The sequence below is a fragment of the Homo sapiens genome, chromosome 11, assembly GCF_000001405.40.
Source record: "Homo sapiens chromosome 11, GRCh38.p14 Primary Assembly".
Classification (NCBI taxonomy): domain Eukaryota; kingdom Metazoa; phylum Chordata; class Mammalia; order Primates; family Hominidae; genus Homo; species Homo sapiens.
The window spans coordinates 46430369-46443876 of NC_000011.10; the positions used below are offsets into that span (position 1 = coordinate 46430369).

The 13508-nt window shown below is 41.9% G+C and overlaps 1 protein-coding gene across 10 annotated transcripts in view; it reads right to left on the reverse strand.

Moving 5' to 3' along the window:
* AMBRA1 (autophagy and beclin 1 regulator 1) overlaps positions 1-13508 on the reverse strand; it is a 197612-nt gene that overhangs the window by 33957 nt on the left and 150147 nt on the right. For 9 of the 10 annotated variants that reach the window (NM_017749.3, NM_001367470.1, NM_001367469.1 and 6 more), the window contains 3 exons: positions 13120-13230; positions 4481-4669; positions 3106-3260 (listed from right to left, as the gene is read on the reverse strand). In NM_017749.3, the coding sequence (NP_060219.2) occupies positions 3106-3260; positions 4481-4669; positions 13120-13230 (455 nt within the window). Of the gene's footprint in view, positions 1-522; positions 720-3105; positions 3261-4480; positions 4670-13119; positions 13231-13508 lie in introns of all 10 variants that reach the window. The other variant, NR_160027.1, reaches the window with a different exon arrangement.

A 13508-nucleotide genomic window follows, 5' to 3' on the forward strand; every position in this document is an offset into this window, starting at 1 on the left:
GAGGGCAGACACCTAAAATGAAGAAATCTTGTTTTAAAAATACTAATCCTGGGTCCCTCTGACTCCCATTCTTATTCTGATTTTAGGTCTGAAATGGATCTGTATTTTAATAAGGACCCATGTAGTTCTACTGTAAGTTGTCCAAGAACCACAGTTTGAGAAGCACTGATCCAGAAGTCTGAAGAACTGCTTAGAGTAAGTGCATCAAGGCTAATAGCAATTAGCAATTCATTTTCAGAAGAGTTTTCATATGGGATTGTGTCAGAGATCATCTCTTGGGGAGAGATGTCACTTAGTGCCATCTTAAAATAAATCAATGCTCTGGAGGATGTTCTCCTGGGAATGTCTGTTGGCCCAACACATTTGCCTCTCTGAACATTACCACAGTGAATTCCAAGAGGTAACACCAGACAGAAGGGGAATTCTGGGTAGCAAAGCTCTAGGACAGGCCCATTACCCACTAAAGCATTCCTTTATGGTCAGAGCTTGACATTAGAGATGGAGACACCCACCTATACTTACCTGTGCAAAGAGGGAGATGCTGTACTGTCCCATTAAACCCTTGCTCCCTGTTCTCAGACAAAAATTCACTTCTTGCCTTAAACGGTGATACAGCACAGCTATCCAAAAAAGCTGGTGTCTTCCCTTCCACCAATCACTGAATTCAGGGACATTTGCTGAGTGATCTGGTGCCTTTGGACGTAAGGGGCAACCAAGACCTGGAAAACCAGAAACCTTTCTGTAGCATGGGGGTTTAAAGTCAGACTGGGTGGACACTTGGTTGACCTAAACCTTGTTGAGATGCCTTGATCCTGTCTCTTGGGTGACAGGAACACTTCCCAAATGGGAACTTTCTAGGTACTTCAGCTCCCTTTCTTAGTGCTTGGTGGCAGATGGTACCTACTGAGAATCAAAAAAGGTTCACCAGGCAGCCTGGCAGTAGTAGTAGCTCCAGTCACCAAGCATGCAGCTGCTGGCTAGCTGCCTTGAGACCCTTGGCAGGACAGCCAGGGGCTGACTGGATTACCACATCTCCTCAGCAGAGAACCACATTCCTTGAGCTGCCAGCCCCATATGTGACAACAGATCCCATCACCTTGGCTTCTGCTTTGTAACTGTTTGTCTTCAGCCAGATGTTTCTGGCTACTATGGAAAAGTGGAACTGTGCTAAGATGGAGAACTGGCAGGCTGTGTGCAGGAGCTGGGCAAGAGCCCTGGCTTATGAAAGAAGCTAGAGAGGTCTGTCAGAGCTACCAACATCAGATTCTGTCTCTTAATGATTTAAACGATTATTCCACAATTAGGCCGGAAGGGTTAGAAGAGCAGCTGTTGGGACTGGGATTCCAGGTGGTGAAAAGCAGAGACCAGCTTCTGCTTAAGAGAAGCAAAAGAAGAATATTTAAATGAAAACTCAACTTCCATCCTCAAATATCTAGATAAGAAAATAGACTTGATGAACATCCCACAATGACATCTCCTATTCACCCAATGTCAAATATTTCCAGCCATATGGAATTCAAGATCAGAACTTTCTTGTCATTGTGATATCAAGAGGACAGAATGACTTGTTTTCCTTTCAGAAGCTTGGTGGGACATGATGTTATGTTACCCATCATTGGTTCTGCTAGTTACCACCTAGAAATGATAAAGAGGATGCTTTATTTTTATTTATTTATTTTTTTTTGAGATTCTCTTTCATTCATTCATTCACTTTCTACTAAGTGTCAGGTTCCGCATGAAGTTCTTGGACTTCATAAAGATAAAACAGACACAGTCTCTATTCTCAAGGAGCTCACAGCCCAGGAGAAGAGAGTGACATGGAAACAAATAACTGCAGTTTGGTGTGACAAGTACTGACATGAGAATGTGTAAGAGGTACAATGATAGCACAAGGAACGAGTGATCAATTCTATTAAGATGGATGCCACAGAAAGTAAAAAGCTTGCAGGTAGCTGGAGATAGGGGACAGGAGGGCATTCCAAGTAAAGGTACCCTGGCAAGAAGGCACTTTGACAAATTCAAGAAGCTTGAAAAGTGGCTCAGTGTAGTTGGACAGAGGATATCTGTAGGAGACAGGAGGGAGAAGAGGCTGGAGAGGAAAGGACCACACCAGGCCACCCACTTTCTATCACTTTGTATATAATGGGTGCTATCTCTAGTTTTTTTATTTAAAACAAATGCTTCCCATTCCAGATATTCAACAGCCATCTACATGCACAGCACTAAATGAGGGACCTGAGGGATATCCCTCTAAGGAGCTTACACTGAACCGAATTGGGTGGATTAAACACATACGCTACACAGCTAAAGAAGACAAAAAATGGACCAACAAGTACATCCAACTATAAATGGTACAGATTGCACAAAGTACTAAGGAAATTCACAGGTTCTTGGATTCTGACAAAGCTTGAATACTATCTAATTAGAGAACTGTTCAAATGCTTGAATCCCCTTGACAAAACCCTGGCTAAATGAGCACCTATGGGACGTGGGACGTTCACTCAGGCACGTTAGTCTGGCTGAGGCCAAAAGGCCACGAACCACAGGATGCCCAGAAGGCTTTTATGGCAATATAAGAGAGACGTGCCTTAGACAAGACAGGGTCCTAGACAGGACCTTTTCTCCACTGGTGAAATGAATGGGATGATTAAGAATACAGCAACTGCCTAAAGTCTTCATCTTCCATCATAATTATAACCCACAGAAAAAAAACATTTCATGGCATACTATTACTTTTTACAGCTTGTTCCCTCACACACACACACAAAAAGCTTTAAAAATAAGCATTTCATTGGGTCCTTTATGCATCTCCAGATTAAAAGTTTCACGTAGAAGTAAGGAAGTATTCAGTTTATCTGAAGATACTTGCAGGCCTCTGGGGAATGCAGCACATATTCTAGGGTGTGAGGAAAGGCCTTTGATAGTCCAGAGCTTCCACAAATGAAGCCTGCTGGTCATGGATGGGCTTGACTACAGCCCTTCCTTACTCCTTATGACTGTGTGATAGCTCTGGTCCTGGCTGGGAGGTCACACCACTGTCCCCTCATTACCCTTCCAAGCCTAGGGGAGCTGCCATACAGTGAAGGCACAAGCAATGGCACTCACCCTCATGGAGGTCTCTCCACCATGGGCCTGTTGCAGCCTGAAGACCTGGGCCACCATGTGCTCTGTGGAGGGGTGCAGCAGGATCCTTCGTGAGGCCAAGCCCACCATTACATATCTGCCCATTGGGGACAGGCTCACCGAAATGGCATTGGGACCTGAGGGCCAACAAAACAGAGAAATATTTCCTAGGCTTCTGGCCATTCCAAGGAAACAACTTTCACTCTTACTCTTGTCTTTTTCTCTAATCTTCATATTCACTTGCTCATCCTGGTGTTATCTCATAGGACTGTAGTGAGGAGTATGATGAGAAGGCATATACATACTGAGTGTAGTGTTTGACATATAGAAAGCACATAATAAGGCTGAACGCGGTGGCTCATGCCTGTAATCCCAGCACTTTGGGAGGCCGAGGTCGGGGGATCACCTGAGGTAGGGAGTTTGAGACCAGCCTGACCAACATGGAGAAACCCCATCTCTACTAAAAATACAAAGTTAGTCAGGCGTGGTTGCGCATGCCTGTAATACTAGCTACTCGGGAGGCTGAGGCAGGAGAATCGCTTGAACCCGGGAGGTAGAGGTTGCGGTAAGCTGAGATCACGCCATTACATTCCAGCCTGGCCAACAAGAGTGAAACTCCGTCTCAAAAAAAAAAAAAAAAAAAAAAGAAAGAAAGTACTTAATAAATGCTAACCGTTGTTATCAACATTTTAAAAAATTGTTAACATCCTGTAATTACTATTTTGAAACCCACCTTTTTCATTTAATACATTATGAACACTGTTCTGTAAGAGCATTTTAAGGGCCAATGGAGCAGTTCTATCACTGCACCATCATTTGTTTAGTCAACTCTTAAAAAAAAAACAAAAAACACTTAAATTCAACTCAAGGTGACACCAACAAAACACCCACCCCACCCTCCCGCAAAACAAACAAACAAACAAACAAAAAAGTCTCAAGGCAACAATTTGGCATTTTTCTGTATGGTAACACTGCTGTGAACACCCTTGTATGTAAATCTTTGTATAGTTTTCTGATTATTTCCTTAAAAGCTGGATTGCCAAAGAGCTGACACATTTTGGGAGGTTTTAAATACACAATGCCAAACTGTCTTGCAGTGCATGTGTGTGCTACAACCACCTCCTCCCTTATTCCTGACCGTCGTAACAGGGGCATGCGGTAGGACTCTAATGCTCAGATGCTTCTGCAATGTTACTAGCCAGCACTCCTGCAAAGCAATCTTTCTCTGGCCTGTGCCCCAGTGAAGGTAGGGGCAGTATGTGACCATTACTCCCACCCAAGCTGTGCCTCACCTAGCAATGACCATGCCAAGGCACCAGCGTCCCTCTGTCATTAGGTTGGGCTTCCTATCCCTTACCAAATCGCTTGGTGTAGAGCATTTCGCCCAGGTTATGGGGGGCCAGGGAGTACACTGCCAGGATGCCTTCATCAGGAAAGCCCCTCTGGCTGCTGGGGATGAAAGCTGCCAGGAGCTGGCCATCTGCAGAAATGTCACAGCTGGCATCATTGTAGATCTTGCAGTTCTGCACCAGCACATTCACGGAAGCTGCATCAGACAAAGAAAGAAAAGAGGATAAGAAACTTTGGAGTTGATACTGTAAAAATTCTGGGGCCAAGAAACTTTAGGGACTTCCTAAGGGCCTGAACCTTGTCTAGAAATGCTAAAGAATACCTTCTCATTCAAACTAAAATGTCAAATGAACAAAACACAGGAGGCAAGAAAAGTATGTCTCTTCTCCCACCTTAGCAGGAAACTATAGGATAGTCAACACCACCACAACCACCTGCTGAGTCTTAGTTCACATTTAGGAAATACCGCTTGAGAGATTAGATAAGGAAAAAGTTATTAAAAATTATTCCTAGAGAGCCATTTAACAGCTGTTATTGTCCCAGAGATCAAAACCAAGATAAATGAAAATGCAAACCCACTGGTTCCAAGAAAAAGATGATACAGGTAGAGCTTTCTTGGGGCAGGAATCCTATTCAACACCTGTTATGTGACCTTGGAGAAGAAAGTCATTTCATAAATTTGTATCTTACTTTCTCATTTAAGAGAAAGAGAACTGGAACATCTAGAGACCAGTTTTCTGGAACAGCTCCTTGCTAATACTAATCTCTAACTCTACCAAGAGAGGAAACAGAACAAAGCCCAGCTGCGGCTGGATGGCCAGGGCTCTTTTCATTTCCCACTATGCTCTATGCCAATGTCCATGACAGCCCTAGTCTGCACTTTGCAGCTCCTGAGAACAAACTGCAGGGTCAGGCAGGCAGCAGGCTCAGCCTGGTAAGGTGGCAAGATCTGAGGGTGGAGGAATGTCTGTTGGTGAGGAGCATCCACTCCACACAACAGCACCAATGAGATGTTAACTGGCACTGTGCCTATAGGCCTTGTTTCGGTTTTCATTTGAATCCCTCTGAGTCCCACCGTGTGATTCCCTGCCAGGAAGAAGTGGCTTACCCTTGATGTGAGCATAGAACAAGAGTGCCCACATCATGGGCCCGGGCAGAACAGCACAACACATTCAAACAGACCAAGCTCATCAGGGCTTTGTCTCATGTAGATATACCTCAAGCAAAAAAACTTTTCACTGTTTCTCTTATTTGAAGGAGATGTCCACTGTCAGAGGCATTGTGGTAATTTTTTAAAAGCCAAGCTCAGCTGCCCTCGCCAGAGTCCAGGTGATCTACTGCAGTAATCCAAAAAAAGTCAAGGGCAAGTTTCCCTAGGAAATTACCTCAAGGAAAACAAAACAAGGAATTGCTCTTTCAGAGGCCCCCAGGCTTATGTGATCTGATACTTAAGAGTGATTTGTAAAACTCTATTTGTTCTCCTTTCCCTGTGTGTTGCTAATGAGATGACAGTGTATATCAAAAAAGGCATTAGAATACATTGATTAGGCTATTGTGCCAACTCGGGGGCTGACACCTACAGCACCATTACACATAAAACCGAAGAGGGACCACAAGGATGGTTCTGTTTGCTAACTAATAAAATAATGATATCCAAATACTCACTGCTATCACCATTAGGCCTTTCTACTGCTCAACTCCCAACCCACCATCTGGTCTAGCCTGTAAGGCTAGATTTATCTAATTAGCACTGGGACCGTCTGCTACTTACTACTCAGGGTCCCAAGCCCTTTGCCAAAACAAAAACAAAAACAAAAACAAAAACAAAACACGGCAATATCCCTCTCCTTTTCTGGATCAACACATGAATCCAGCTGGGGATATAGAACCAAAGGAACTGGGAGAAGTTTCAGAAGTGAGACCATCTTGGTTTTCTAACTCTGAGGCTGACAATGCTCAGAAAAATAAACAGAAACTAACAATTTACACTCTAACCACCAAAAGCAGGGAGAGAAAGAAAATAAAGAAATCATAAATGTTAAGTAGTACATGAACCTAAATAGGAAAGGAGATGAGACTCTATGGGCTTTAAGACAGCTTTGAACAGTTACCATTTTATCTACATTTAATGTCTCGAAAATGTCTGTTGGGTATGTTATTAAAGTAGACTTTCCTATCTTGCTGTTACATAGATCCAGCTCGTGTGTGTTAACGTTTATTTTGGTCAAACACCTAGAAGGCTATAGTAACCCTCAAAACTCATCACCAACACACAAAAAAGCATTTAACTGCTTACGGAGACAAGGTGTGCAGAGGAGAGTACAAGTAAGATTTTCCTTCTTCTGGAAAGCTTGGCTCTAAAACCCCTTAAAAACTGGGCATATGGACAAAAAGCATTTCGTCAGCCTCAAATCCAGGCCACTGTGCTTGCATTTGTATTATATGATGACGATTCCAAGTCAATAGCTATCTCCCAAATTCTGCCCTCTCCCCTGACTCCACCCAACTTCATAACTCTTCCTGGCTACTGCAATGAGCTCACAGAGATATGCAAAGGACAAACGAAAAGAGAATGCTGAAAATTGTAACAGCTTCTCCGGTAGCATATTCAGTTTCAGAAATTTTGCAGCTCATGATCTGGGGTTTCACTTCTACCCTAATGGGATGTGGTGGCATAGAGTGATTTGGTAGCTCCATTGCACTGGGTTCTGTTTACAATTTCATTCTCACATTTGCTGTTTGTTGTCTATTAATTTCACATGTGGAAAAGGAAATGTTCAGTTACAATAAGTGTCACTGCTTCCATTCACTTGTGCAGCTTCCTCTCGTAAGGCTGAAATTTTGATGAGTTAATTCATACAGGAAGAGATTTCTTGGATCTCAATTACTTGTTTATTTAGGCCACAGGAAAGTAATGTACTAATGACAAAGAACAACTAACTCATCCTTTTTGGATTCAACAATAATATAAGGTAGAGAGAAAAGGGAGAAGTAAAATATAGCCGAAGACACCGGCTATAGCTTACACACCATTAGAAGTCTTTGTGGTGCTCCATACCTTGTGTGACCCCAGCAGCACACAAACTTTAACACGTATCAAACTCACCAGGAGGGCATATTAAAACACAGAATGCTGGGACGGGGCCTGAGAATTTGCATTTCTAACAAATTCCCAGGTGTCTCTGATGTTGCCGGACTGGGACTACACCTGAGAAATGCGACCTTGTCAAATAATCCTTAGTCTGGGAGATGCATCTCCAGCAACTGGCTTTCACTTAAAGGCAAAAAACATATTGGAAAAAAATGATGGGGTATTTAGCTGGGCAGTGAAGAATGGAAATAAAGATTAGGAAAGAAAGGATTTTCAAATCAAAACTGCTCTAGAACTTCAGGGGGCAGCTCCGGAGGGAGAAAAAACAATGCAGGAGACAGCAGGAAGCCATGTTCCAGACTCTGCAATGTAATCTCCTCCCAATTAGAAATGATTTCCAAGTGAAAATGCCCTAGCAGGGAATGGGAGGGGTTAGAAATACTGATGCCTGGAGGAGCAGATGGCTCTGCCTTCCTATCAGCTCCATAAATTATAAACAAACACCTTGTACAAAGATCGATTTGTAGCCTGTTGCTGGCTGGCCAGATGAGGCCACGGGAGCAATTAGCAGTTGCAGTGCCTTTGCAAATGCATTAGATACCGATTTGGAAAACCCAAGGGGGGTTAAATCAGCAGAAAAATTTCCTCCTGGCTATCTCTGAGCCCCCTGGATTTCAGAATAAGGCCTGTACAGAGCTCCAGATGACCCATAAACACTCCCTGAAGGCACTATATCCCCTGTGGTATCGCCTGCCCCACACCACTCATCCGCCGGGTTTCTTAAGGCCTATTCTGACAGGACAGCCTAGTGACCAATTCCATTCACCCAGTAAGAGTTCACTCTTAAAAATCATAGTGAATCTAATGTGCCACTTTTTTCAGGAAAGCAATTTCAAAATTATTTATGCATGAGGCCTTATTCATAAACTTCTAAACACTAATCTCAAATCTCAAGTGAGAGAAGCAGGTGGCAAGATCTTTAGCCTAACTCCAGGAAAAGGTTAAATGCAATTCACATAAATCAACTTGGTGGTTGCTGAACTCATCAGTAAAACACAGAATCAGGCTGGGCTCACACCTGTAATCCCAGTACTACGGGAGGCCAAGGCAGGGTAATCACTTGAGGTCAGGAGCTCGAGACCAGCCTGGGCAACACAGCGAGATCTCATCTCTATAAAAAAAAATTTAAAAATCAGCCAGATATGGTGGCATGTGCCTGTAGGCCGAGTTACTTGGAAGGCCGAGGCAGGAGGATCATTTGAGCTCAGGAGTTTGAGGTTATAGTGAGATATGATCACGCCACTGTACTCCAGCCTGGGCAACAGAGCGAGACCCTGTGTCTAAAAATAATAATAAGTAAAATAAAACATAAAACCTCAAAGATTAAACTCACGTGGAACTTTCAAATGAATAATCAGACAGATCACTAGAACAGAACAGAGAGTCCAGAAATATATCTAAATACAGAAAAGAAATTAATAGTATGATGAAGATGACATCCCAAATAAATGGAGATAAATGGATTATTAATTAGTTGGGACAAGTGAGTAGCCATATGGGGGGGAAATTGGATCATACTTTGATTATTTGGGACTAAATTTCCTAGTGAATCAAAGACTTAACTATTAAAAAACTAAAATATAAAAGTTATAAATGATCTCCCTAATGATGACACAAAACCAAGGAACCATAAAAGGAAAGTTGTATAATTTTGACTCCTTAAAATAAGTTCTATGACAAAAATAACCTTCAGCAAAGTCAAAACTCGAATGACAAGTAGGAAGCTCCTATTATAAGTTAATTTTCTGATTTATAAAGAATTCCTGTAAAATTGCTAAGGAAAAGACCAGTAACACAACAGAAAAATTGGTAAAGCACATGGACAGGTCAAGAGAAGGGAACACAAATGGCTGTGTATATGAAGAGGCATGCAATCTTGTTTGTAACACAAAAAATACAAATTTAAAATGCCCACATACTACTTTTTTTTTTTAACATATCAGATTTGCAAATATCCAAAAATTTGATAGTACATTCTATCAGCAAGAGTTTATGAAATCAGGCACTCTCATGAACTCCAAGTGGAATAATAATTTGGCACGAGCTGTATAGAGTGTGGTATGGCAATAACTACACACTCTTCCCCCCTGCAATTCCATTTCTAGAAATGTATCCTAGAGATATACCTGCATATGTGCAAAATGATAAACTGCAGCACAGTTTGTAGAGTAAAAGATTGAAAATGACCTAAAGGTCCTTTAATAGTAGACTAGTTATGGTACATTCATACAATGGAATAGTAGGCAGTCATAAAAAAGAACAAATAAGCTCTTTATATACTGACATGAAAAGAACACTGAGCTATACTGTAAAGAAAAAGGGCAGGAAGTACAGACGAGTACATACAGCATGCTACCATTTGGGTTAAATAAAAGGCAGAAAAACATAAATTTGCATTTGCTTGTATATACATATAATATTTCTGAAAAGATATATAAGGAACTGCTAACAGTGGTTACATGTGAGGAGGAGTGGTAGGATTTGGGGGCTTCTTACTGTATTAATCTTTTATATTTTTTAAATTTTTGAACAGTAATATCAATTTCAGATGACAATTAAAGAAAGAAAGTGACAAAATAACAAAACAAAATAATTTTAAATAAATTATGGCCAACTTTAAATAAATTATGGAACAGAAAGCTAGAAATGAAGAAGCAAACTTCATTTTCAATAAGGGAAAATGTGGATTGTGGTTAATTTCCAGCAGAGTTAAAGAATGAATTACTGGACATGTGGCCTATAAGCACTTAGAAATAGATGGTTGCTGCTGAAGTTTCATTGAGACAGGACATGAAAAATTAAACTGATTTTCCTTGTCCAATAAAGATACCAAGACTGGCATCAGGAAATGCCACAGACAGAGAATATCTTAATTATTTTAAGGCAACTGGCAAAGTCTTATAATATCATACAGACAAGATAGAAAAATGTCGTCCTCAGATATGAACAACCAAGCCCAGAGTGGTAATTCATAAACCAAAATCAACACAGAGGAAGTCCACAGTAATGTACTACAAGGTTTGGTGCAATGCCCTGCCTGATTCACTACTTTTTGCTAACAATCTGACAGAAGACAGAAAAGCATGTTTATTGAATTAGTAGACAATGGAATACTGAGAAAGAAGGACTAAAACAAAGTTCAAATAGATGATGAGAGGCAGGAAAAAGAAACTACAGTTGACAGAAAAAATTGAATAGAAACAAATACAAATCTGTTTTCGTTATTAAAAGATAAGCTGGGCCGGGCACGGTGGCTCACGCCTGTAATCCCAGCACTTTGGGAGGCCGAGGTGGGTGGATCACCTGAGGTCAGGAGTTCGAGACCAGCCTGGCCAATATGGCAAAACCCCGTCTCTGCTAAAAATACAAAAATTAGCTGGGTGTGGTGGCGTGCACCTGTAGTCCCAGCTACTCGGGAGGCTGAGGCGGGAGAATCGCATGAACCTGGGGGTGCGGAGATTGCAGTACACCGAGATCATGCGACTGCACCCCAGCCTGGTGACAGAGCAAGACTCTGTTTCAGAAAAAAAAAGATCAAGCTGTACAAGTACAGGAAGGTTGAGTCTTGGTTTATTAACAATTATCAAGAAATTTTAAGTGACTAAAAATTCAAGAGTGGCTTCTGAAAAAACTGCTGAAACCATAGGGTAAGCTAATAGTGTCTGAAGCACCACTGTACTATGTATTCGACAGCTCACATCTAGAGTTTTCTATTCTTTTCTGCCCTCCTCCACTGAAAGTTAAAAGGAAAGAGGAGCAGAACTGTCAAGGATTTGGAAATCAGTGAAAGGAATCTAAGGAGGTTTGACCTTTCAACAAAGATTTAATGGAAAATGGCAGCTTAGTTTAAATAGTCAGAGTACTGTCACTTGAAAGAAGCATTACGAGATTTATACTATGGAGGTTCAGAGACAGAACTAGGACCAATGGGAGAAAGTGACAAGGGAAATGGTGGCTCAGTGCAAAAAAAAAAAAAACTTTTTTTTTTTTTTTTTTGAGACAGGGTCTTGCTTTGTTGCCAAGGCTGGAGTGCAGTGGTGTGATCTTGGCTCACAGCAGCCTCGACCTCCTGGGCTCAGATGATCCTCCCACCTCAGCCTTCCAAGTAGCTGGGACTACAGATGTACGCCACCATGCTCAATTAATTGTGTGTTTTTGTTTTTTTTTGGAGATAGGGTGTCACTCTGTCACCCAGACTGGAGTGTAGGGATGTGATCTTGGCTCACTGCAACCTCTGCCACACAGGTTCGAGCAATTCTTGTGCCTCAGCCACCCGAGTAGCTGGGAAAACAGGCATGCACCACCACACTCAGCTAATTTTTGTATTTTTAGTAGAGACGAGGTTTCATCATGTTGGCCAGGCTGGTCTTGAACTCCTGGGATCACGTGATCCTCCCAACTCAGCCTCCTAAAGTGCTGAGATTACAGGTGTGAGCTGCTACACCTGGCTGAAAGAATATTTTAACACAAATCTAGCAGTGATGGTCAGGCCACCTTGTCAGTGTGGTCTATCATCAGAAGCAGTCAAGCAGAGGCTGGACCATCCCTCTCAGAAATGTGCAAGAGAGAGCCCTTCACGAGGTAGAAAGTGAAATGAGAGGTTTAAAATGTTGTGATTCCAATAGAACAACTGGGATGTGGACTGCAGACTTCACTAGAAGCAAGGAAACTGAAACAGTCATGTTTGTAAATCAGATATCAACCATACCATTGAGATGAATAAAGATACGAAAACTGGCATATCAGGAAATGCCACAGACATAGAATATCTTAATTATTTTAAGGCAACTGGCAAAGTCTTATAATATCACACAGACAAGATAGAAAAATTTCAGCTTCAGATATGAACAACTAAGCCCTATGGGATTATAGGTGCATGCCATCATGCCTAGCTAGTTTTTGTATTTTTAGTAGAGACAGGGTTTTACCATGTTGGCCAGGCTGGTCTTGAACTCCTGACCTCAAGTGATCCGCCTGCCTTGGCCTCCCAAAGTGCTGGGATTACAGGCGTGAGCCACCGCACCCAGCCTGTAACTCTCAATTAAGCAATTCAGCAAACATGTCTTGCACCCACCCTCAGCAGCAAACAATGTAAGGTACTGAAGTAGACACAAAAACAAAGATTTCTCTGCTCTGAAGAGTTTGTGGACTAGTAGTTCACTGGTCAAAACCTAAAGTTTAGGTGGAACTGAAAAGAAGAGAAAGAGAAGGGAGTGTAGGATCCAAGAGCTAAACCTTGTGACCCTTTTAGGAAAGACTACAGTGATGTTAATTAAACTCGATTAATCCAGATCTTAATAGACTTAAGTGTATGGTATGGTTGATATCTGGTTAATGGACCTGAAAAGAAAGTTACAGAAGAGGTGCAGAAATGGCATGTAGATAACAACTGCTCAATAGGATGATGAAAAACCCAGTGCTCCATGAATTTTTGAGTTCTGGCTCACCAGCAAATATAACCCTTCCACTGATACCCCCATTTGACATTGACTTACCATTACTGATTTCAGGGAGGTCAAACTTAGTGAAGTCCCACCACTGGAGCCGGTAGGTAGTATTGGCAATGTTACTGGCCACAGCAGACTGTCCATCACCGATCACTGCCCCTTATGAGGAAGAAGTCAAAGACAGCACATTATATTATTTATCCACGTTTCCACTGCAAAACATAAAACAATACTGGGATTAGTAGTGGGGAGAGAAGAGGAAAAACTAGACTATGGCTGAAGAAAGCTAATGAGTCCCATCTGGCAAGTCTTTGTCTCAAAGAAAAACCAGGCATGTTTGCCAGGGAACAATTCAATGTGGAAATATAATCCCATTCATCAGTCCTTCCCATTGTTACTTAACATTTACTTAGTGCCAACAACGTGGCAGGTACTGT